This window comes from Homo sapiens, chromosome 2 (genome assembly GCF_000001405.40).
Source record: "Homo sapiens chromosome 2, GRCh38.p14 Primary Assembly".
Taxonomy (NCBI): domain Eukaryota; kingdom Metazoa; phylum Chordata; class Mammalia; order Primates; family Hominidae; genus Homo; species Homo sapiens.
The window spans coordinates 69,476,150-69,498,962 of record NC_000002.12 but is presented as its reverse complement, the minus strand read 5'-3'; the positions used below and the strand labels follow the sequence as shown (position 1 = coordinate 69,498,962).

Sequence of the window (22,813 nt, the reverse complement as noted above, 5' to 3'; positions counted from 1 at the left end):
CACATCTGGGTATTAACACCCCAGTCTGTCCCTATTGGCCCTTGCCTGTTACCCATCTAGTTGAGCTGGGGCTGGGAAGTTCCTGCACACCTGAGGAATGGTAAGCATCACACATGCCACCACCTCCATATCTGGGCCTGGGGCACTGGGTTCCCACATTTCAAGGGCCTCTGGAGTGAAAGCAGGTGCCGTATGTCTTTGAAGCCAGGATGTAAAGGAGGCGGCCAGATTCCAGGGACTGGAAATGTCGCCGGTCCATCCAGCAATCCCACCTTTGCCTTCCACTTTATCATGCATCTCAGACTATATCTTGCGTGCCCTGAGGAGGTAGCATTAAGGGTGGCAGAGGTGGCTGCTGTGACAGTGGCAGAGTGTATTCAAGAGATGCTGGGTACTGAGTAGGCGAGGGCAAGGGACTGGGGCACTGGGCTCTCGGGGGCAGGGGAGGTGGGGAGAAAGAGGCCCGGTCAGCCACTGACTACGAGAAATGTGGAATAGAGGTGGGTGGGGTGGAAACTCTCCCATGTCATCACAGCTGCCCAGTAGACCCCAGAGCATCCTCCTCATGCCAGAGGCAGAACTGGAGAGAGACCAAGATTCAGAGACAGGTAAAGTCCAAGACAGGGAAAGAAGGAAATCAGAGCCAGTTGCCCACAGAGATGCTGCCAGTGATGCCCACACATGCTCAGCACTTTGACTCCTCCACAAGCCTGTTTTACAGACAGAACACTGAGGCCAAGAGAGGTGAAAAGAAATGTCCCACATTTGATGGCCCAGGCCAAGGGGATTAGTAGAGGGGATGCTGAGCCCCATGATTTCCAAATTCAACCCAGCACCACTCAGGCTGAGAAGGAGGGATTCAGGGGTCATTGAGAAAGACAGGGATGTCCAGGGAGCGAGATGAAAAGAGGCAGAGAGACATGAGTGGGGTGGGGTGGGGTGGGGTGGAGGGAGAACAGAGCAGAGGGTGTGGGTGGGGTCCCAGAGCCAGAGGTATGGGTGACATCGGCACTGAGGGGAGAAGAAAAGAACAGTAGACACATGCACAAATAGGGCCACGTAACAACTGGTGAGCACTGAGGAGCCTAGGGCCGCGGTACTGTGCTGGAGTCGGTGATCTCAGGCTACAGTTTATATAAGACATCACCACTGGGGGAAGCTGGTTGAAGGGTTCACAGGACTGTATGTGCAGGAACTTCTTGTGGTTCTGTATTACTTCAAAATAAAACGTTTTTTAAAAACCCACTTTATAGAAACAAAATGAGGCTTTTTTTTTTCTAGAAAGACAGCTGACAAACAAAATGAGATTTTAATTAACGAACAAACTGAATACTGAAATGCAAAGTAAAGAATGATTATGTATGGCTGGGCACGGTGGCTCACGCCTGTAATCCCAGCACTTTGGGAGGCCGAGGCAGTTGGATCACAAGGTCAGGAGTTCAAGAGCAGCCTGGCCAACATGGTAAAACCCCGTCTCTACTAAAAATACAAAAATTAGCCAGGTGTGGTGGTAGGTGCCTGTAATCCCAGCTACTCGGGAGGCTGAGGCAGAGAATTGCTTGAACCTGGGAGGCAGAGCTTGCAGTGAGCCAAAATTGCACCACTGTACTCCAGCCTGGGCAACAGAGCAAGACTCCATCTCAAAAAAAAAAAAAAAAAAAAAAAAAGAATGATAATGTAAAGCTGCATGTGGTGGTGCATGCCTGTAATCCTAGCTACTAGGCTACTAGGCTGAGGTGGGAGGATCGCTTGAGCCCAGGAGTTTAAGTCCAGCCTAGTTAACATAGCAAGACCTCAGTCTCTTGGAGAAAAAAAATAAAAAGAATGATAAAGTGGAAACCAAGAAACCTGGCTTCTGATCCTACCTCTGGCTAGTCTTTAACGTTTAGGCTTCATTTTCTTTTATGGGGAAATAAGAAAATTGTGCCAGAAAATTCTGAGACCACGTCAAGCTCTGTTATTCCATAGGGTGTATAGAGTTCTGTAAATCTATATTTTGCCAAATATAGAATGAATGCCAATAGTATGTTAAGTATAGTACAGAGATTAGGGCTTGTCTAACCTTGGAATAGGCAAGAAGTCTATTTCTGCCCCTTTCTGTGTGTCTGCCTATCACTATATTAGACATCATGGTGATACAGTAGGACTTAGTCCTTAAAGGACCTCAAGAGGGTGATAGATACATAGGAAGTACCTATACACATGCTAGATTACAAAACAGATAGTGTTATATCTGTTTATGTGCTAAAATGTGTGATATGGACATTACCTCCTCTCGACATTCTGAAAGAGATACTGTAGACTGCAGTATATCCAAGAAAGGAGTGGAATTTCAGACATATGAATACCCTGGTTTTATTGTTAATTGCATCTCATAATATGTTGCAAGGACCAGGTTGAGCTGGGTGCGGTGGCTCATGCCTGTAATCCCAGCACTTTGGGAGGCTGAGGTGGGTGGATCACCTGAGATCAGGAGTTCAAGACTAGCCTGACCAACATGGTGAAACCCTGTCTTTATTAAAAATACAAAAATTAGCTGTGCGTGGTGGCAGGCGCCTGGCGACTCAGGAGGCTGAGGCAGGAGAATCGCTTGAACCGGGAGGCGGAGGTTTCAGTGAGCCGAGATTGTGCCATTGCACTCCAGCCTGGTGGACACGAGTGAGACTTCGTCTCAAAAAAAAAAAAAAAACGGGCCAGATTGAGTATCTCATAGATACTTTGCTGTTCACTGAGCTACAGCCACTTTTATTCTAGGCTTAGACTTACTCTGTAGTTTGAACTGTTGCATTAATAGAGGGTAAACTTACCTAGATTTACTTGGTGTTATTGCTTTTCTCTTTTTTTCTCTCCTGACTCCTCCTTCCCCTCCAACCTAACTCCAGCTGAAAAAAGGAAGGGTGGGCAGACTGTGGACTCTGGCCTCCCGCTTCTAAGCGTGTCTGATCCTTTCATTCCTCTTCAAGTACCTGATGCACCAGGTAGGTGAACAGAACTGTTCTGAGGTTAAGCAGCTTGATTTGCATGTCCCAGGCCTTGTAGAAAGTTCTGCCTTAAATACCCCGTGAAAAGGATCTGAATTCCAAGCCCTAATAATAGGCTGCTGTTGTATATTTTTACTGTGTCTCAATAAGAGGAGTAAACTTGTCCTGGAGGGTACCAGCCCTTAGCAAAGATAAAATCAGTTCAGGTTATACCAAATTGATTTCCATATTATATCAATGTTCAGTTTTTCATCCTTGATTGTGTTAATGGTGACGTGAGGGGCCTCTGTATTGGAAAGAACATTAGTCCAATATGATTTTAACAATGGTGGGGAGGCTGTAAGCACATGATAAAGTGATCAAAATATGAATAGTGGTGATAGTGTGATCATGGGATTGTGGGTGACTGCTGTTCAGTTCTTTTCTATAATGCCTTTTTATTTTATAATATAAAAACACATAATGATAATTAGGGAATGGGATAATAATTAATAGGGAATGTGCGTCAGGAGACCTGGGTTCCCTTCCAGGCTCTGCCGCTACCTGAAAACCTTCTGGGCTTGGTTCTTCATCAGTGAAGTGTGTTGGACTGCAGGAGTTTGAATATCTCTTGTAGTCCACCATATCTCAATTTTAAGTAGCAGTCTAAAAAGTAGAAAGTGGTTGATGTGTTCTGAAAGAGCTTTTGGAACAGTGATTGGATGCTTCCCAGTTGGAGTTCAAGTTGCCAAAGCTTTTCCTTCCGGCCTTCCTTCCGTACTCTTTGGTGGGAGGAGTGGTGTGGGGAAGAGAAGCCGCCCTTTCTCTTATCTGTCAGTCTCTTCACAAAAGCAAATTGTTCCAGCTCCTTAGAAGCAGTTGACAGTTGTTTTGCTTCTGATCATTTTTCCTTTTTTCCCATTGTTGCCCCTACCAACTCTTGACCTTGAACTGACAGGACTGGCTTGGTTTTTTTTCTCTCCCAAAATGTTAAAGGTATTTGATTGCTTGCTTCAAGACTGGAAGTGACTGCGATGTTCATATCCTTTACCAAGTCTGCCCACCATCACTAAGACAGACTGCAGCTAGGGTACCAAGGCAGTTTTTATTTTTTATTTTTAGACAAATTTGTTTACCCCTCTAAGGAGAAGCAAACACTTGCCTTGATCAGGTAGTACTGTATAACTTTATAGCTTACTGGACCTGGATGTAGCTTAAAAATATCGAAAACCACTAAGGAATGATTCAATACAGGGTAGTTAAAAGGGAAGAAAGGAATGAAATAGAGGCGCTTTTTTCCTTTGCACTTTTCAGGTATGCCTGGCAGTACTTGGACAAGTTCATTTTGAATAGAAGGTTAGAAAAGTGTGGGCTGTAAACTCCAGCTGGGGCTCACTGTCTTTTCCTCCCTGTTTTGGTAATCATGGGATCAGACAAGGGAAAGAGGTGATGGAGGCATTCTCCTTTTGACACCCCTTCAGGTTCTTGCTTTGCTGTTGCTTAGGTAGCCCATGGGCTGCAGAAGCCAGGAAGAAGGCCTCTTTGCACAGGGCAGAGGATGAGGGCCCTCAGGCAAGTAACTGTCCTGTGCAGCTGTCACAGGAGTCCTCTGGATCAGGGTTGAAGAGCCAGGCACATGCCCCAGGTGGCTCAGGAAATCGGCTTCAGCTTGTGGAAATGCGTCTGGGGCCACCAGAGCCAGCTGGCTGCCATCCTGCCTGCCTTCTTGTCATCTTTCCTGTCTCCTGGTCCTCCATGCTTCTTTCATCCTGGTGGATTCCTGCTGAAATGTTACTGGTATACACTTTAATACCAATTAAGCCAAGACCTCTCTTGGGTTTCGGTGGAAAGATCAACTAAAATGAGACATTTTAATAGAGAACTGCAGGAGTGTATTATTTACTTTCTGATCTGTCAGACCAGACTCATCTGTTGAAAACATAAGTCAGACAGTTAACTCTTCTGTGCTTTGGTGAATTCTCATATCACTGAGGGGGCATAAAATCCAGGCTGCTTACTGCGACCTGCAAGGCCCTAAGTGGTGTGGCCCTTGCCTACCCCTCTAATCTCAGCTGAGAGCGCTGTTCCCCTCCATCTTGTCTTTCCTCCAACAAGCTAAGCTTGTTCCCACCCTGGGGACTTTGCACTTGCTGGTGCTCAGCTTGGAAAGCCTTCCCTTCAGTTTTGTTCCCTTGTGTCATTCAACCTGTGGGTCTCAGCTTAAATGCCGTCTGCTCAGAAAGGCCCAGTGTGGTCCCATGGGCACTCCCAGTCACATCCCCTGGCACTTTTTCTTCATAGCCCTTATCAGGACATAGTCTGTCTTTCCTCATCCTATCACTCTCTGAGGGAGGGGCCTCATCTGTCTTATTCATCACCTGTATCAGCTGTGCCAACGACACTGTCTGTATTCACTTAGTGAGTATTTACAGATCCGACAAATGAATGAAATAAAACCAGAAGCTGGAAGCCTTTAGGTGGCCCCATTACCCTGCATTTCTGTCCCAGCTCCCAGGCACCAGACGACTGGCTCCATAGCCTTCCATCTGCACCTCTGCCAACTCCCAGCCAGTCCCCCCACACCCACTCTTTGAGAGTGAATAAAGGAAGGCACAGCCCACAGTGTCAGGCAGCTGCCAGTCCCTGGGCTGATGAGAATAGTAGCTAGGCTCAGCAGGTCGTTTAGCCCCGTCCTTTCACGGTGTCCTGCAGAATTGTGCTAAGTATGTTATATTACCACGGTGGCTTTGACTATTCTGCTTATTTTAACATTCAGCCTCTAGCACATTCAGTTACACAGCTTCTATATCAAGGCCACTGCATCCTTTTTTTTTTTTTTTTTTTGAGACGGAGTCTCGCTCTGTCGCCCAGGCTGGAGTGCAGTGGCGCGATCTCGGCTCACTGCAAGCTCCGCCTCCCGGGTTCACGCCATTCTCCTGCCTCAGCCTTACTGCATCCTTTTTTAACATTTTTGAATATTGAGTGAGGAAAGGGCTCAGGGTTCAGTGTCTCTAGAACCTGGGCAAACTACAAATTTGGTTTTACCCCGCAAAAAGCAAGTAGTCTGTCACACCTCCAGCCCACTATGGACACCAGTCAAGTTTTTTGCCTGATTTTCTTTGTTTTGCATACATGCTCATCTTCTACTCTCAGCCATACTGATGATAAGAATCATGAAAGGCTGGGCGTGGTAGCTGACACCTGTAATACCAGCACTTTGGGAGGTCGAGGCGGGTGGATCACCTGAGGTCAGGAGTTCGAAACCAGCCTGACCAATACGATGAAATCCCTGTCTCTACTAAAAATACAAAAATTAGCCAGGCGTGGTGGCATGCGCCTGTACTTGCAGGTACTCGGGAGACTGAGACAGGAGAATTGCTTGAACCCGGGAGGTGGAGTTTCCAGTGAGCTGAGGTCACACTCCTCCACTCTATCCTGGGCGACAGAGCAAGACTCTATCTCAAAAAAAAAAAAAAAAAAAAAAGAATTGGCCAGGCACGGTGGCTCACGCCTGTAATCCCAGCACTCTGGGAGGCCGAGGCAGGTGGATCACCTGAGGTCAGGCGTTCGAGGCCAATCTGGCCAACATGGTGGGACCCTGTCTCTACTAAAAATACAAAAATTAGCTGGGCATGGTGGTGGGCGCCTATAATCCCAGGCACTCAGGAGGCTGAGGCAGAAGAATTGCTTGAACCTGGGAGGCAGAGATTGCAGTGAGCTGAGATCGCGCCACTGCACTCCAGCCTGGGTGACAGAGCAAGACTCCGTCTCAAAAAAAAAAAGACTCATGGACTCTCAGTCTCCTGAAGACCATGCGTTTCAATGACTTTTAACTTTTTTATTTTATGCTTTTAAAATGATTTCACGTACAAGTACCTTTGATCTTATAGATACTGGGGAGTGGTAGGTGGTAGATAATGTCAAGTAACGCCCTCATGGTGTGGGTGAGGAAGTGAGTCCTTAGTGTTGTTTGGACTGTGCTCAGCCACACATTCTTCTTATTGCCCACACTCCCCAAACAGTGGAGGGTTCTTTTATCTTTGGGACAGTTCTCAGATCAATAAAGCCTTTGACCAGAGAGCTAAATTTAAGGCTTTGGGAAATATAAAAATAGATCTGAAACTGTTAGTCCTGAGTTCTAGCCATTAGTGGCTAGGTGATTGTGGTCAAATCACTTAAATTGTGTGTTCTTATCCTTAAAATTGGCAATACTAAAACCTACCTTATGGGGTGGTCACAAGGTTAGATGAAATCATGTATTTGAAATTTCTATGTGAATTTTAAATTACTATAAAGATGGGAAATGCTGTTTCAACTTTGGTTCTACATCCCTATTCCCAGTGGGGCAGTCCTAGTTATCATAAAATGATATTTTTCTCTTGTTGAAATTAAACTTGCTCTTATGACCTTTAACTTTTGCACAACTGAGAACCATTAAAATAGATTTCCTGGATACAGTGATTGTCAAACTATGGGTAAAGGGCACTGGATAATTGTAGGTTGGTTCGTTGGTTTGTTTTAAGGAATATTTTTATTTTTCAAAGCACTATAAAACAAATTTTCTTAGAAGGTCTGGAATATGAAAATCATAGCCATGAACATTTGTATGCTTACAAAGCTGCCAAATGATGCATGGCTAGTGAGTCTCAGAGTATTTCACTGATGCTCAAATGCTGCTTGTCCATTTATTTGCCTTCTGTATGCATTAGGAAACAGATAAGCTATAAGTAGTACCAGCATTTTAAAATATGGTAGAAAAGAGGCTGGGCCAGGCTCATGCCTATAATCTCAGCACTTTGCGGGGCCAAGGCGAAAGGATCACTTGAGCCTGGGAGTTCGAGACCAGCCTGGGCAACGTGGTGAGACCCTGTATCTAAAAAAAAAAAAATTTTTTTTTAATTAGCCAGGCATAGTGCTGCATGCCTGTAGTCCTAGCTACTTGGGAGGCTGAGGCAGGAGGATCCTTGAGCCCAGGAGTTTGAGGCTGCAATGAGCTATGATCACACTACTACACTCTAGCCTGGGTGTGACAGAGTGAGACCCTGTCTCTTAAAAAGTGTGTGTGTGTGTGTGTGTGTGGGTACACACACATAGATATATTTTAGAAAGATTGAGGAATTTTCTCTGAAAACTGGGGACAATATTTTTAAATCATTCTTTTAAATTGTAGTAAAATGTACATAATGAGATTTACCATTTTAACCATTTCTAAGTGTACAGTTCAGTGGCATTAAGTATATTCTCATTGTTTTGCAGCCATCACTACCATCCATCCACCCACCTTTTTTCAACTTGTGAAACTGAAACTCTGTACCCATTAAACAACAACTCTCTATTTCCCCTCCCCCCAGCCCCTGGCAACCACCACTCTATTTTCTGTCTCTATGAATTTTACTACTCTAGGAACCGAATGTAAGTGGAATCATACAGTATTTGTCCTTTTGTGACTGGCTTATTTCATTTAGTATCATATCCTTAAGGTTCATTCATGTTGTAGGATATGTCAGAATTTTCTTCCTTTCTCAGGCTAAGTAATATTCCATTGTATGTATATACCACATTTTCTTTCTCCTTTCATCTGTTAATGGACACTTGGGTTGCTTCCATCTTTTGTCTTTTGTGAGAGATGCCTCTGTGAACATTGAGTGCACAAATTTCTCTTCCAGATCCTGCTTTCAATTCTCTTGGGTATATACCCAGAAATGGAATTGCTGGATCATATGCTAATTCTATTTTTAACTTTTTGAGGACCACTGTTTTCCATAGAGGCTGCATCATTTTACATTCCCACCAACAATGCCCAAGGATTTGAGGAAACGATCTTTATAACAAGTCTGCAGTACTGATCTCGGCGTTCCACAGACTAAGCAAGAAGACATTCGTTGCCCCATCAGTGCTGCTTCTTAGAATTAAAAACTTTTTTAAAAAAGTGCCTCTTGGTTTATGGCAATTCATCATCTCTTGAGAAGTTAAGCAAGAGAAGCTGTGTTTTCTCAAAAGTTTATAGTCAAGACGGGCATTCTTCTCATAACTTTTGGCCTGGCCTCTTCCTCATTTCCAACTGCTGTCTCGTGATACTGAGAAGTCCAAGGTTGATCATAATATGTGTTTTTACTCTGGAAAGCTTATCTTTCTGCAGATTTAATTCTCTAAAATGAACTTGGAATGGGGCATGATGTTTGACTTTTGCTTCCAACTTGCAGATGTCACAAATGGTTTCTCAATGCTAAGAACTCTTTAGAGTGACTAGATTTCATTTTATTTTATTTCTTTTTTAGGGTGACTAGAGTTTTAAAACATCATCTCTCGTCATGAGACTTCAGGGCTTACACCCCAACTCAGACAGAACATAGATTTCCAAAGCCACAAGGCTGGAGTGGCCGTGTCCTCTTTTTTGGTGGGGCTGGTATTCGGCCCTTCCATGTCTGTGAGTCCTGCCGTTCTACTCCTCCTGCTCATATTCCTAACCAGAGTCAGAATGGGCCTTGAGAAAGCCCTTGGTTTTATTAGCCTGTATAAGTAGATACCTGTCCTCTTTTTTTTTTTTTTTTTGAGACGGAGTCTCGCTCTGTCGCCCAGTCTGGAGTGCAATGGTGTGATCTCAGCTTGCTGCAACCTCTGCCTCCTGGCTTCAAGCAATTCTCCTGCCTCAGCCCCCCGAGTAGCTCAGATTACAGGCATGCGCCACCACGCCTGGCTAATTTTTGTATTTTTCGTAGAGATTGTGTTTCACCATGCTGGCCAGGCTGGTCTTGAACTCCTGACCTCAGGTGATCCACCCGCCTCAGCTTCCCAAAGTGCTGGGATTACAGGGGTGAGCCCCATAGCCGGCTTCTCTTTTGATATTTTAGGAGAGGGGCTGGATATGGTGGCTCGCTCCTGTAATCCCAGCACTTTGGGAGGCTGAGTTGGGTGGATCGCCTGAGGCCAGGAGTTTGAGATGAGACTGGGTAACATACAGGGACGCCATTTTTTCAAAAAAAAAAAAAAGTTTTAAGTTAGCCAGGCATGGTGGCATGCATCTGTAGTTCCAGTTACTTGGAGGCTGAGGTAGGAGTGCTGGGATTACAAGTGTGAGCCACTGCGCCTGGTCAGTTTATCTTCATTTTGTCCATAAGAGAACTTCAGTCTAGAAAGAGTAAGAGATTTGCCCAAAGTACTACACAAACTTAGTGTAGAGCAGGTCTCCTGTTTCTTAGTACCTTGTGTACCTCTCTGTTAGACCATCCTGCCTCTTCCCCACCTTTCACTTTATTCTAACAGTTCTGCTTATTCTGTTCTCACCCAAGACATTTGAGTAAAATATGGAACTTGACCCATATTCACTACTGTAATCACAGGCACCTGTGGCTTGGTGACCCCCTAGCCCATTTAGTCCTCTTACTTAAAAGAGACGTTAATCCCCTTTTATGTACCAAACACTTTATTTATACACACGCATTAATTCTGATAAATACACCCTTTTAATCCCAACAACACTTTAAAGTAGTTCTTAATCTGTTTACAGGTGAGAAAATTGCTTAGAAAAATCAGGCAACTTAAATTCAGGCTCTTTTACTCTTTACTTTTTGGGATTTTGCAGGCCCCAGCTAAAATTCAAAAAATGTATAGTATCACAATAAAAGGTAAAAATAAATCAATAAAATGATACTCTCTATCTTTTTTTATAACTTCAACTTATTTTCTAGATTTAGGGGATACGTGTGCATGTTTGTTACCTGGGTACATAGCATGATGCTGAGGTTTGGGGTACAACTGATCCCATCACTCAGGTACTGAACATAGTACCCAATAGTTATTCAACTTTTGTTCCCCTCCCTCAAACACACACACACACACACACACACACACACGTCCACACACACACGTTTAGAGTCTGGAGTCAGTTCTAAAAATATCAGAGTAAGCCTAAAAACTAATGCAAAACTTGGCCGAGCACAGTGGCTCACACCTGTAATTCCAGCACTTTGGATCACCTGAGGTCAGGAGTTTGAGACCAGCCTGGCCCACATGGCGAAACCCCATTTCTAATAAAAATAACAAAAATTAGCTGGGCGTGGTGGCAGGCGCCTATAATGCCAGATACTCGGGAGGCTGAGGCGGGAGAATTGCTTGAACCTAGGAGGCGGAGGTTGCAGTGAGCTGAGATCGCGCCATTGCACTCCAGCCTGGGCAACAAGAGTGAAACTCTGTCTCAAAAAAAAAAAAAAAAAAAGCAAACAAACAAAAAATACTAATGCAAAACTGGACCATTTTCTTCTCTTCAGAATTGTCCAATTGCTTTTCACAAACATTTCATAGGAAGATTAAATCATTACTAAAATACAATTTATGAATAATTTGGGGGTTTCATTGGTCTATCCCCTTAAATAATTGAGAATAACAGTGTCAGTCTTTGTACATTTCAGGTATGAACTGTCCCAGAAGAATGGCTTTTGCCTTTGCATCCAAAGAAGTCACTTCTCATAACTCATGGTGAAAAAAGGTCTTTGTTCATTAGACATCACTAAGTCACGATATGCTGATGTGAAGCGTGATTGATGTTTTTGGATCTTAAGGAACACTTCTACAGTTTCCTACATTCACCACTCTCTTCTCTGTGCTGTTCTTCTCCATGCCCCATCATGATACTTGGCTTCGGTGTGTTTCTATTAAACTGTAAGGGAAAGGACAGAATTTATAAAACAAAGGATATCAGGGCCAGCCCTTGATGCAGATGGAAGGCCTCCAGGCTCCATGATTTATAGACTGTCAGCATCCTATAGCCTTTCTTGTGCCTCCCATTACATCCTTTTCTCAAGTTCTTCATTTACAATGACCAAAAATGACCAGTAATAGCTTTAGATGTGACCTCTTCTAAGAGTCCTTACATTTTAAAGCAATCAAAACTTTAGTTAAACCAGAAGAATGAAACTCCAGTGTGGTCAGATATCTGAGTCTTAGTATCAGCTAGCTCTCTTGCTTGCTTGCTGTGAGATCTTTGGCAAGTTTCTTTAACTTTCTGGAGCTGGTTTCTTCATTCATAGAGGAGAAGGCTGAATTAGATAAGATATGAGGTTCTTTCCAATGCTAACCTGTCTGATAACATTACCGTTGTCCCTGGGACCATGTCTATGTGAAGACTCATATTCCTATATTGATGGAGATAGGCAGACCCCTAGACAGATACAGAGAGAACTTCAGAGACAAGTCCAGGCTCTACCATGTCTAATCTGTGACTTTGGGCAAGTTGCACATTCTCATAGTCTCTGATCTTCATTCTTTTAAACTGTATTAGTATTCCCAAACCCAGGGGTTTTTGAATAATGAATGAAAATATTTGATATTAAGCTCTACAAATGTAAGTGACGTCCATCATTGTGATGGCACCTGGAGGCCAACTGAGTCACTGGGAGCCTTCCTTCCCTGTGAGAGTCCTGGGAGTCCAAGTAGCTTTTCGCACAGCTGTCCACCTTACATAGACATGGCCTGTGCTCTCACTCCCAGCTTTGTGCCTGGTATTGTTCTGTCTGCAGCTCCTCCCTCCCACATTTCTGGTATTTGAGTATTCCCAAGCAGCCGTGACCATACAAGTTATCTATGTGAATAGCTTGTTACTTTGAGGTTTGGTCAGAAAATAAGCCCCCCTAAATCAGGCAGTTTACACCATTCTGTCTCACCACACAACACGTGTACACTCATGTACTTCTTTACCCTCCCACGTGCTTTTTGCTAATGACTTATAAAAATATTAGATTCTTGAGCCAGGTTCAGTGGCTCATACCTGTAATGTCAGCAACTCAGGAGGCTGAGGCAGGAGGATTACTTGAGGCCAGGAGCTTAAGATTGTCCTGGGCAGCATAGCGAGACCCCATCTCTACTAAAATGAAAAATAAAAAATATTAGCCGAGCATGGTGGTACATGCCTGTAGCCCTAGCTTCTCAGAAGGCTGCGGCTGAAGGATCTGTTGAGCCCGAGAGTTCGAGGCTGCAGTGAGCCGTGATCGTTCCACAGCACTTCAGCCCGGGTGGCAGAGCACTATCCTGTCTCTTAAAAAAAAAAAAGGCCAGGCTCAGTGACTCACATCTGTAATCCCAGCACTTTGGGAGGCCAAGGTGGGTGGATCACCTGAGGTCAGGAGTTCGAGACCAACCTGGCCATCATAGTGAAACCCCATCTCTGCTAAAAATACAAAAATTAGCCGAGTGTGGTGGCGCACACTCGTAATCCCAGTTACTGGAGACTGAGGCAGGAGAATCGCTTGAACATGGGAGAGGGAGGTTGCAAGTGAGCCGAAATTGTGCCATTGCACTCCAGCCTGGGCGACAAGAGCGAAACTCCCATCTCAGAAAAAAAAAAAAAAGAGAGATTTTCTTCAATTCCTGTTCTTTCCACCTCCCCAGTCAAGCCAAAAGGCATAGATGTGGCAGGGCATCTGAGGGGAAACCAAGAACTGGGATACAAAGGTTCGTAAGACCCTTCCTTACCTTCAGTCATGCTTAAGGGCTGCGAGAGAATTGAGTGCAGGATGCTCCAGAAGATTCCTGATGTGGCAGGAAGGTGGGGAAAGGCTTACAGGAGATAGTATTGAGTGACAAGTACAAAAAAGTAGGGGGAGGCATCTCCATTTTACAGATGAGGAGATAATGTCAGAAGGTTAAGGAACTGTGCCAGAGTCACAACATGTCACCAGAGAGGCTAGAATTCAGAATCTGAAAGAATGCTAGCCTGAGGTTTTGCACCAAGATAAACTGCTGCATGAAAGACAAGCAAGTAATTTTGGGTCTTTACTTTTTATCCATTGCTTTTCAAGATTGCAAATATATGAGTGCTAACTTAAAAGAAGCAAGTAATTTCATTTTTTTAAGTGACAGTTTTTTGAGGAGAGAGGAATGAAGCAAAAACTAGTGTTTGGAGCAATGCAAAGTTAGACTTTTTAGGAAAACCATCTTATTTTTACCAGTATGCTGAAAATTATTAGAGATATTTTTAACATCTTATAATGTCATATACAGTGTAAGGTTAATGCTAATATAATTACACTTGTATACTTGGTTAGTGCCCTGTGAGGGTTTTTTTCCTGCAACTGAAAAACTTCCTTTTTTTTCCTTCCTTTTTTTTATGTTTTTATTTATTATTATTATTTTTTTTTTTGAGACTCACTCTGTCACCCAGGCTGGAGTGCAATGGCATGATCTTGGCTCAGTGCAGCCTCCGCCTCCTGAGTACAAGCAATTCTCTTGCCTCAGCCTCCTGAGTAGCTGGGACTTCAGGCATGCGCCACCACGCCTGGCTAATTTTTGTATTTTTAGTAGAGGCGGGGTTTCGCCATGTTGGTCAGGCTGGGACTATAGGCATGCACTACCACACCCGGCTAATTTTTGTATTTTAAGTAGAGATGTGGATTTCCCCATGTTGGCCAGGCTGGTCTCGAACTCCTGTCCTCAGGTGATCCACCCACCTCGGCCTCCCAAAGTGCTGGGATTACAGGCGTGAGCCACTGCACCCAGCCGTCCTTCCTTTTTTTAATATAAACGAGGTATAAATGAGATATGTAGCTTATTGTCATTTAATTCAAAGTTATCTGCATTCCGTAGACTCCAGAGATGGTGAATTGGCTTTACATATAAGTCTTTTTCTGCAGTGTGTTAATTATACTAAAGCAAATTATCTTGCCAAGACTCTGAAATCCATTCTTTTGTTTGACCTGTGTAGTTACAGATCACCTAAATTGAAGATCACCTAAAATTTGGTTCCTGTTTTTCCATGAATATCAATTTATTTCTTGCTTATCTCAATTCCCAAATGGCCTAGAAGAATACAGATTTATTACAACGTTATATACACGTTCTTGGACTTTAAGTCACTTCTTTTTCTCAAGCAAACATTTTAATTTTAGTTCTCTTAATGACATTTCCATGGTTTAAAAGAACGTTGTTGACATGTCTTTAATTGGGCAAGTTACAGAATTTATGTGATCTAAGTCTCCTCTTAACAGGAAATGTGAGCTCTAAATTCCCTTCTTCCTATAAGATTCTATGATTCATTATTTTGTTTCAAGTTAATGCTTTACCTTTAATAGCTTAAAGGTAAATAGAGGGTTCTTGATGGATCGGGCTAAAAGAATTGTTTTGGAAGGAATCCAAATGTGCACACATTGTCAAACATTAAGTTACCAGGTGTGACAAGTCTGGTGGCTCAGGCGTCCTTTTATTTCTTGGCCAGAAGACATCAAGAGTAATCCATTTTTGGGCTTAAGTGAATTTTGTGATATTTGACCATAGAATAATATGACTGCCAGCATGTCACAGGTGCATAGTTGGCAGACAATAAATGATCGTTGAAGTCAGCTTAGGTGTGGTTGAATTGATTATCTTGGTGAGTTATAAACTGTTTCTAAATAAAGTCCCCCCCAACCCCCGAAAAAAGAGAGAGATTCAAAACTAAGCCCGAGAAGGAAAATGAACATACAAAGATTTATATGCAAATGTTTATGGCAGCTTTATTTTTACCAGCTTAAAAACTGGAAACAACCAAATGTTCAGTTGGTGAATGGATCAACAAAGTGTGGTACAGCCATACAATGGAACAGGACTCAGCAGAAAAACAGAGCAAACTATTGATACTTGCGACCACACGGATGACTTTCATCTCAAAGGCATTATGCCAAAGGAAGGAAACCACACACAAAAGACTACATACTCTGTGGTTCCATTTATAGGAAATTCTGGAAAAGGCAAAGCTGTAGGGACAGAAAGCAGATCTGTTGTTACCAGGGTCTGTGGTGAGAGGAAGGCACTGACTGTAAAGGGTTATGAAGGAATTTTCTCAGGTTTTGGAAATGTTCTGTATCATTTCAGTGGTAATGATATGAATGTATACATTTGTCCAGACTAACCACATTGTACACTTAAAATGGGCGACTTTTATTGTATGCAAATTACACCTCAAATAAAAACAAGCAGACGCACCCAGGACAGCATCTTGAATGCCTTACAAAGTGACTACTTCACTTGAGGAAGTAATCATTTTTAAACTTCCAATTTTGAAAACCTGTTGTTAACAAGATATTAATAGCATTCATTTTTATGGTGAACCTGTACCAAATATTGACCCCTAAAATGTGTTTGCTTAAAGAATAGTGAATGATCCGCTGGCTTTAATATCTTACTACATTTTTGCTTTCTTTTTGTCTCTCTGCCCAACGTAGAAAAACTAATTGAGGGACTCAAATCTCCTGACACTTCTCTTCTGCTCCCTGACCTCTTGCCTATGACAGATCCTTTTGGTAGCACTTCTGATGCTGTAATTGGTAAAGTCATCATCTCTGTTTCTTCAGTCATGCATGATATGTGTGCCTGTTTCAAGAATGACAAGTACCTAGTTAACCAATCCCTGGGGAATAGCCCTGCCACCCCAGAAGCCAAGGCTATTTAATCTCACTTGTATCACTCCAAATGAAGTGTTTTCCTTGCTTTTCGGGGGTACAACGTCTATTTTTTGCCTTTCTTGATATCTGGAGATTTCTAGAGTGGATCTCTTATGAATGAGGAGGAATGTGGAAAGTTTCACATTTAGTTAGAAGAACTTTAAAAAATTGGTTTCTAACTAGACTACCTTTACTGAACTTAATGAAATTTAGCAGATTCTTCTTTTTTTTTTTTTTGTTTGAGACAGAGTTTCACTCTTGTTGCCTAGGCTGGAGTGCAATGGCAAGATCTCAGCTCACTGCAACCTCCATCTCCCGGGTTCAAGCAATTCTCCTGCCTCAGCCTCCCGAGTAGCTGAGATTACAGGCATGCACCACCATGCCTGGCTAATTTTTATATTTTTAGTAGAGATAGGGTTTCTCCATGTTGGTCAGGCTGGTCTCGAACTCCTGACCTCAGGTGATCCACCTGCCTTGGCCTCCCAAAGTGCTGGGATTACAGGGGTGAGCCACCATGCCCAGCCCAGATTCTTCTTTAGAAGGCCCATGTACATCCAGCTGCAGTGGGACGAGCCTGGGAAGCATAGGAAGACCCCATCCCTACAAAAAAAATGTTGTTAGTTAGCCAGGTGTGGGGGTGCACACCTGTGCTACCAGCTCTTTGGGAGGCTGAGACGGAAGATCACTTTGAGCCAGGGGGTTTGAGGCTGCAGTGAGCCCTGATCATGCCACTGCCCTCCAGCTTAAGTGACAGAGACCCATCTTAAACAAAATTAAAAAATTTAAAAAGGTCCATGTATATACCAAGTATCAGTAACTGAGAAAACATTTTGCCCACTGGTTAAGCCCCATAAATAGAATCCAGGGCAGGGGCTTGGTCTGCTTCCTCTCTCACATTTTCCTATGTTCCAACAGCAAGGCAGGCAAGATTTGCAAAATGTCCAAGGCCCCTGTACTCCAGGAGGGTCCAATCATGAGGCACCTAATAATGCCTTTGGGCAGAAAGTCCTAGAACTCAGAAGTGCCATGACCTTGCATAGGGGTAGGCCTGCAGCTGAGGGGTGTCACGTGGTGCAAAAGGCCTCCCAGCTACATCCTGGGATGGGGTTTGAGATGGATTAATGGCCTTTGCATGGCACAGAGGATGTTTGCCCCCAGGTTTATCCCTTAATAAAAGTGAAATTACCAGAAAAAATTAAGGTGCCTTTCAGCCCATCTCTTCTGACATGGAAGAGGTTTGCTGAGCGGCTTATGTTCTGAATTTGTTTATGAGAACTGATCATTAGTGAGACTGGCCACAGTATTTAACCTTGCACATGCATGCTCAGTGAAGCCTAGACATTCAGAGCAGCAGAAATAAAGTAACTTATTTTTCTTTCCACCTTGCCTGAGACTGGCATTTTAGAGACCTGTTAAAAGAAAGTCTTCACATGGCTGGGTGCAGTGGCTCACACTTGTAACCACAGGACTTTGGGAGGCCAAGGTGGGATAGATCGCTTGAGCTCAGGAGCAAGACACCATCTCAAAAAATGAGAATTAAAAAAAAAGAAGAAAGCTTCACAGAATTTCCTAAAGAAACTTCTGACTCCCTTTCCCTTACCCTTTCCTCTTCTTAATGCTCTGTTACGAAAGAAAAAGCTGATGTTGCTGTTGAGAGTCTCATACCAGGACTGGAGCCCCCAGTTCCCCAGCGCCTCCCATCTCAGACGGAATCTGTGACCTCGAATCGCACAGGTCAGTCAGGTGTCTCTGCAGCTGCAGGGACTGGTCGGTGTGGTGAACCTCTGAGCCAGTCTTTTCACCTGGCTCAGTCGTTCCTGGGCTTATTTTGAAGCCCAGGTAGTTCCTCCTGAAATGGACACTCTGAATTGTCACAGCCCCGGCTTCTAGATGTTGAGTGATATATTTCCTTGCTAAAGAACTGAGTACTTTTTGGAGCCATGTTCTCTGTGGAGTGATCTCTGGGCTTTCTCTGGTTACAGTATTTCTTTATTCAAAATTCTTTTCACTGGTGGTGGGATCCCTCTATGTCCTTAATTAAAGAACTCTGCCGAGCTGTAAGGATACCCTTAACCCTCCAGATTGCTGTACATCTTTCCAGTCTGCCAATGCCAGTGATGTCCGTGGAGCTCATCTTCTATATATTGATGTTCCGTTCCCAGCACAGTGCTTTAATCCTGTATAGGTAATTTGCTGTAAAATTGTAGGCAAAGTTGAAGTCTTCCCTAGATGTAGTATTACTTGTACCCTAATTTCAAAATTCAGTCTTAATAGAATTTCTTAACTGCCCACAAATACAGATTTGGTAACCTTCTTCTTTTTTTTTTTTTTTTGTCCATAATTCCCTTGATAAAAGTATCTGGTTTTCAAACTTGGATAGAAACAATTAGAAGCCTAGGAAATGTGAGGATAAATTCATGCAGGTGAAAAAAAAATTACCTCCAAAGACATTATGATTTATTTTCCTTATCCTCATTTGAATGTTTTCTCCTAGAAAACTTCTCAGAAAACAATCCCTGTGTTAAAATGCTTAAACTCAGGCTGGGTGCCTTGGCTCACACCTGTAATCCCAGCACTTTGGGAGACTGAAGTGGGCGGATCACCTGAGGTCGGGAGTTTGAGACCAGCCTGACCAACATGGAGAAACGCCGTCTCCACTAAAAATACAAAATTAGCCGGTTGTGGTAGCGCATGCCTGTAATCCCAGCTACTCAAGAGGCTGAGGCAGGAGAATCGCTTGAACCCAGAAGGCAGAGGTTGCGGTGAGCCAAGGTCGTCCCACTGCACTCCAGCCTGGGAGCTGGAGCGAGACTCCGTCTCAAAAAGAAACTTAAACTCTGAGTTTTTGTCTTGGTTTTCTGAAGTCAAAATCATGTTCAAAGGGCCAATTTCAATGTAAAGAATACTAGCTAGAGGCATTGTGGGTGGGAACCTGGTTGAGTTCTAGAAGGTACTGTTTAATCTTGTCACATTCTGCTAATAATAAGCCAGAGGCAACCCTCTCCTAATCAGTTTGGATACTTTGTCCTATAGTAACTTCCTTCTATGAGTGTTTAGGGAAAGTTTAAGTGAAACTCTAATTGTAAAGTTTTTTCTCCCAAATGGCATTCACTAAGAACTGAGGTGCTAAAGTTAGCTCAGCATCCAAATCACAGACCTATTTAACCAGCAACCTCTGAGCAAAAAATTATCCTCTATTTCTATGTTAATGTTAAGAGGAATCTAGAAAGACATGTTTCTATAGATGAAAATCCAGAAGCCTCCACACATTTCTTTTGGTTTTCATTCTCCCACTTTGGCTTGTATGTGTAACGTGTAAATGCAGTAACTTAAAAGCTAAGATCTAATCTCATGATACAGATGAAAATCCAGAAGGCTCCACACATTTCTTTTGGTTTTTATTCTCCCGCTTTGGCTTTTATGTGTAACGTGTAAATGCAGTAACTTAAAAGCTAAGATCTAATCTCATGATATTGTTGTGTGTGCCACTTAATGCCATCACTGACCTGGGATGCTGTTAATCTGGACTCAGATTCTCTCACCGGGGAAGATTCCCTGCTTGATTGCTCTCTGCTCTCTAACCCTACTACTGACCTTCTGGAAGAGTTTGCCCCCACAGCAATCTCTGCTCCAGTCCATAAAGGTAAATGCTTTCTTCTTCTCAGGCCCACATGTGTCCTTAGAGGGGAAAGAACTAAACAACTTTTGAAAGTTTTTCTTATCAAAAGTCTTTACTAGTGAAGTTTTAAAACTACCTCCTTGTATGGAAAACTTGAGTATCTCCTAGATACTGTGTTATAATACCTCTCAGTGAGAATATTTACTAAGACTTAGACGACCGGCCAGTTGTGGTAGCTCAGGCCTGCAATCCCAGCACTTTGGGAGGCTGAGGTGGGAGGATCACTTGAGCCTAGGAATTTGAGACCAGCCTGGACAACATACGGAGTCTCAGTCTCTACAAAAAAATTTTTTAATTAGCCAGCCATGGCAGCATGCACCGGTGGTACCAGCTTCTCGGGAGACTGAGGTGGGATGATTGCTTGAGGCCCGGAGGGCAAAGCTGCAGTGAGCCATGATCGCACCACTGCACTCCAGCCTGGGCAGCAGAGCAAGACTCTGTCTAAAAAAACAAAAAAAATAGCAGACAGGTACTAAAAATAAATAAAATTAAATCTGAAAAAAGCCCTAGACAACAGATTGGTGAAAGTATTGCTTTCTGGCAAGAACATAGAATGCAGATATTCCATGTTACCTTTAAGAGCTAGATACCTTTGCAGTCAATTCAAGTAGATGGTTGAAGTGACTATCTACTGCCTGCCTATAATGATCATATGATGCTTGTTGGCCTTAGAATGTAAAATGGTTTTATCATATCTGATTCAAAGTTATTGCATAGTGATGACTGCAATAAAGAAATAAGCATCTTTCCTCAAAAGTCAGTCCTTGCAAGGTTGAACTTGTAGAAGTTTTGAATTTTAGTTCACCTTCAAGTCATGATTGGTTACTGGATTTCTCTTTCTAATCTACTATTTTCATTTTTCAGTCTTGGGTTAATAGTGGTCTGAAATCCTGGACAGAGGTAGCTTGAATCAGATTCTATTCAATGAGCAGTTTGTGACAGTGTCAGGCTCAATGCCTGGCTTACTTTGTTACTGAACTTTCTGTGATTGGGTAGTGAAAGTAGTCTTCTGGAAAGAGAAAATGTGTAGAAAAGAAAGAGCTTAAGTCCCTTCAGGAGAAAATTCAAGAAGGAAGCCTCCCCAGAATGACTAAAAATAATCACCTCTGTGGTTTGCAATGGTAATAGCTGAGTTTTTGTTTTTACCCGTGATGACATTAAAATGATTATGTTTTTATAGATTATGTAGAGGGAAGTTACCTATTTAGACAGTGATGTCTGGCAGGAGTATGTCAGCAGCAATGTAGAATTACAGAGAAGCATCATTTGCAAAATAAGTGCTCAGCCAGCACTTGCTTGCTGTTAGGGTAGCTTTAATTAGAATGGAGAAGACTATTCTAACAAACTTCTACTTGAGGCCTCAGTGCGTGTGATCTTGTGCCTCAGCGTTCCCTGAGGCTTCTGAGTTGTTTCAGTGTCTTTTTTTCCCAGTCACAGTGCAGTGAGTCCTTCCAGCAGTATTTTGTTTGCATTATATACAGTGGTTACTTCTTAAAGAGCCACCAATTCTCTTCCTCCTCCCCTGCCCTGCCCCCAAGCCCCGGTTTTGAGTTTTTCAAATATTGTTTGGCCTCTGTTCCCTCAGTGAAGACAAGTGACTTATTCCTATGCCTTTGTGGATTAGTGACAATGAAGAGATACCTCACAATAATTATAATTAATGTCTTATAAATAATAGAATTCTTCCAAGAACCCTTTTCCCTAATCATTATAAAAGTCAACATGGCCAACTCTAAAGCATTTTTTTCTATATCTCTGTATTTTCCAGTTTTGCTATTTTTATTTCAACTCAGAAAGATAAATCCTTTCACCTTTGAAAATAACAGGGCTGTACAGTTGAGATCTTTGTGCCTCTTTCACATTCTCTCATTTGCTAATCTCTGCCTCTGTTGTTTCTGCTTGTGTACTTGCATTCTGTATTAAGCTGCAGAAGATAGTAATCTCATCTCAGGTTTTGATGTCCCTGAGGGCTCGGACAAGGTGGCTGAAGATGAGTTTGACCCTATTCCTGTATTGATAACCAAAAACCCACAAGGTAAGAAAAAGGATGGGGAAAAGAGAAGAGCTTGGCCTCAGTTCTCTTCAAAATAGTCATGCACCTAATCTGCAAGGGGGAAGAAAAGCATCAACATTTAATGAAGGACATTGGGTGTAATGAGAATCATTGTAGGCTGGACCAATAGAGATAGATAGAGATAGGTATCTTTAAAGTTTGACCGTGGTGTTTATTTAGAGAGAAGTCTTTAACAGTTGGCCAAAAGTTAGTTTTTACCATGAAGCCAAAAGCAAAATGATCTTTAGTCAGTGGAAACCTGAAGGTATATATCAAAAGCACATCACATTTTTTATCATGATTAGAATAATCCATAATAAATATTTTTCCCAAAGAGATTAACAGCTGTGTTTTGGTATCATTCACATCTTTTTGACATTAATGGAGCATCCTTTTTCAACTTTGATGGAGGAAAATCATGTGAACATGCCATAAAACACTAAATTACCATGGGACCATCTATTTATTTTTTAAAGCATGTTCTTATTGCAGTATCTTAATAACTAGTTTCTCCCCAAAGCAAAAATTATTGATTTTTACTTTATCAAAGGGAGATGGCTTGATATTATCAGGAAGTTGGTATATAGCCAGCAATTCTCAACCAAAAAAAGTATTGATTTGAAAATAGTGCCCTCTTTGCAAGATGTCCTACCTATACTGTGGTGTGCACAGAGTGCCTGAGCTTTTGGTGGGAGGTGGTGGACAGCTAACT

At 42.8% G+C, this 22,813-nt stretch overlaps 1 protein-coding gene across 5 annotated transcripts in view; it reads left to right on the top strand.

The window, feature by feature from the left end:
- AAK1 (AP2 associated kinase 1) overlaps positions 1–22,813 on the top strand; it is a 185,743-nt gene that overhangs the window by 144,777 nt on the left and 18,153 nt on the right. The window contains exons 17-21 of one of the 5 annotated variants that reach the window (NM_014911.5): positions 2,883–2,978; positions 16,151–16,252; positions 18,002–18,103; positions 19,902–20,012; positions 21,973–22,083. The exons of 3 other annotated variants lie outside the window; for them this stretch is intronic. In NM_014911.5, coding sequence (NP_055726.4) covers positions 2,883–2,978; positions 16,151–16,252; positions 18,002–18,103; positions 19,902–20,012; positions 21,973–22,083 — 522 coding nt within the window. The remainder of the gene's footprint in view (positions 1–2,882; positions 2,979–16,150; positions 16,253–18,001; positions 18,104–19,901; positions 20,013–21,972; positions 22,084–22,813) is intronic. One more of the 5 variants, NM_001371575.1, reaches the window with a different exon arrangement.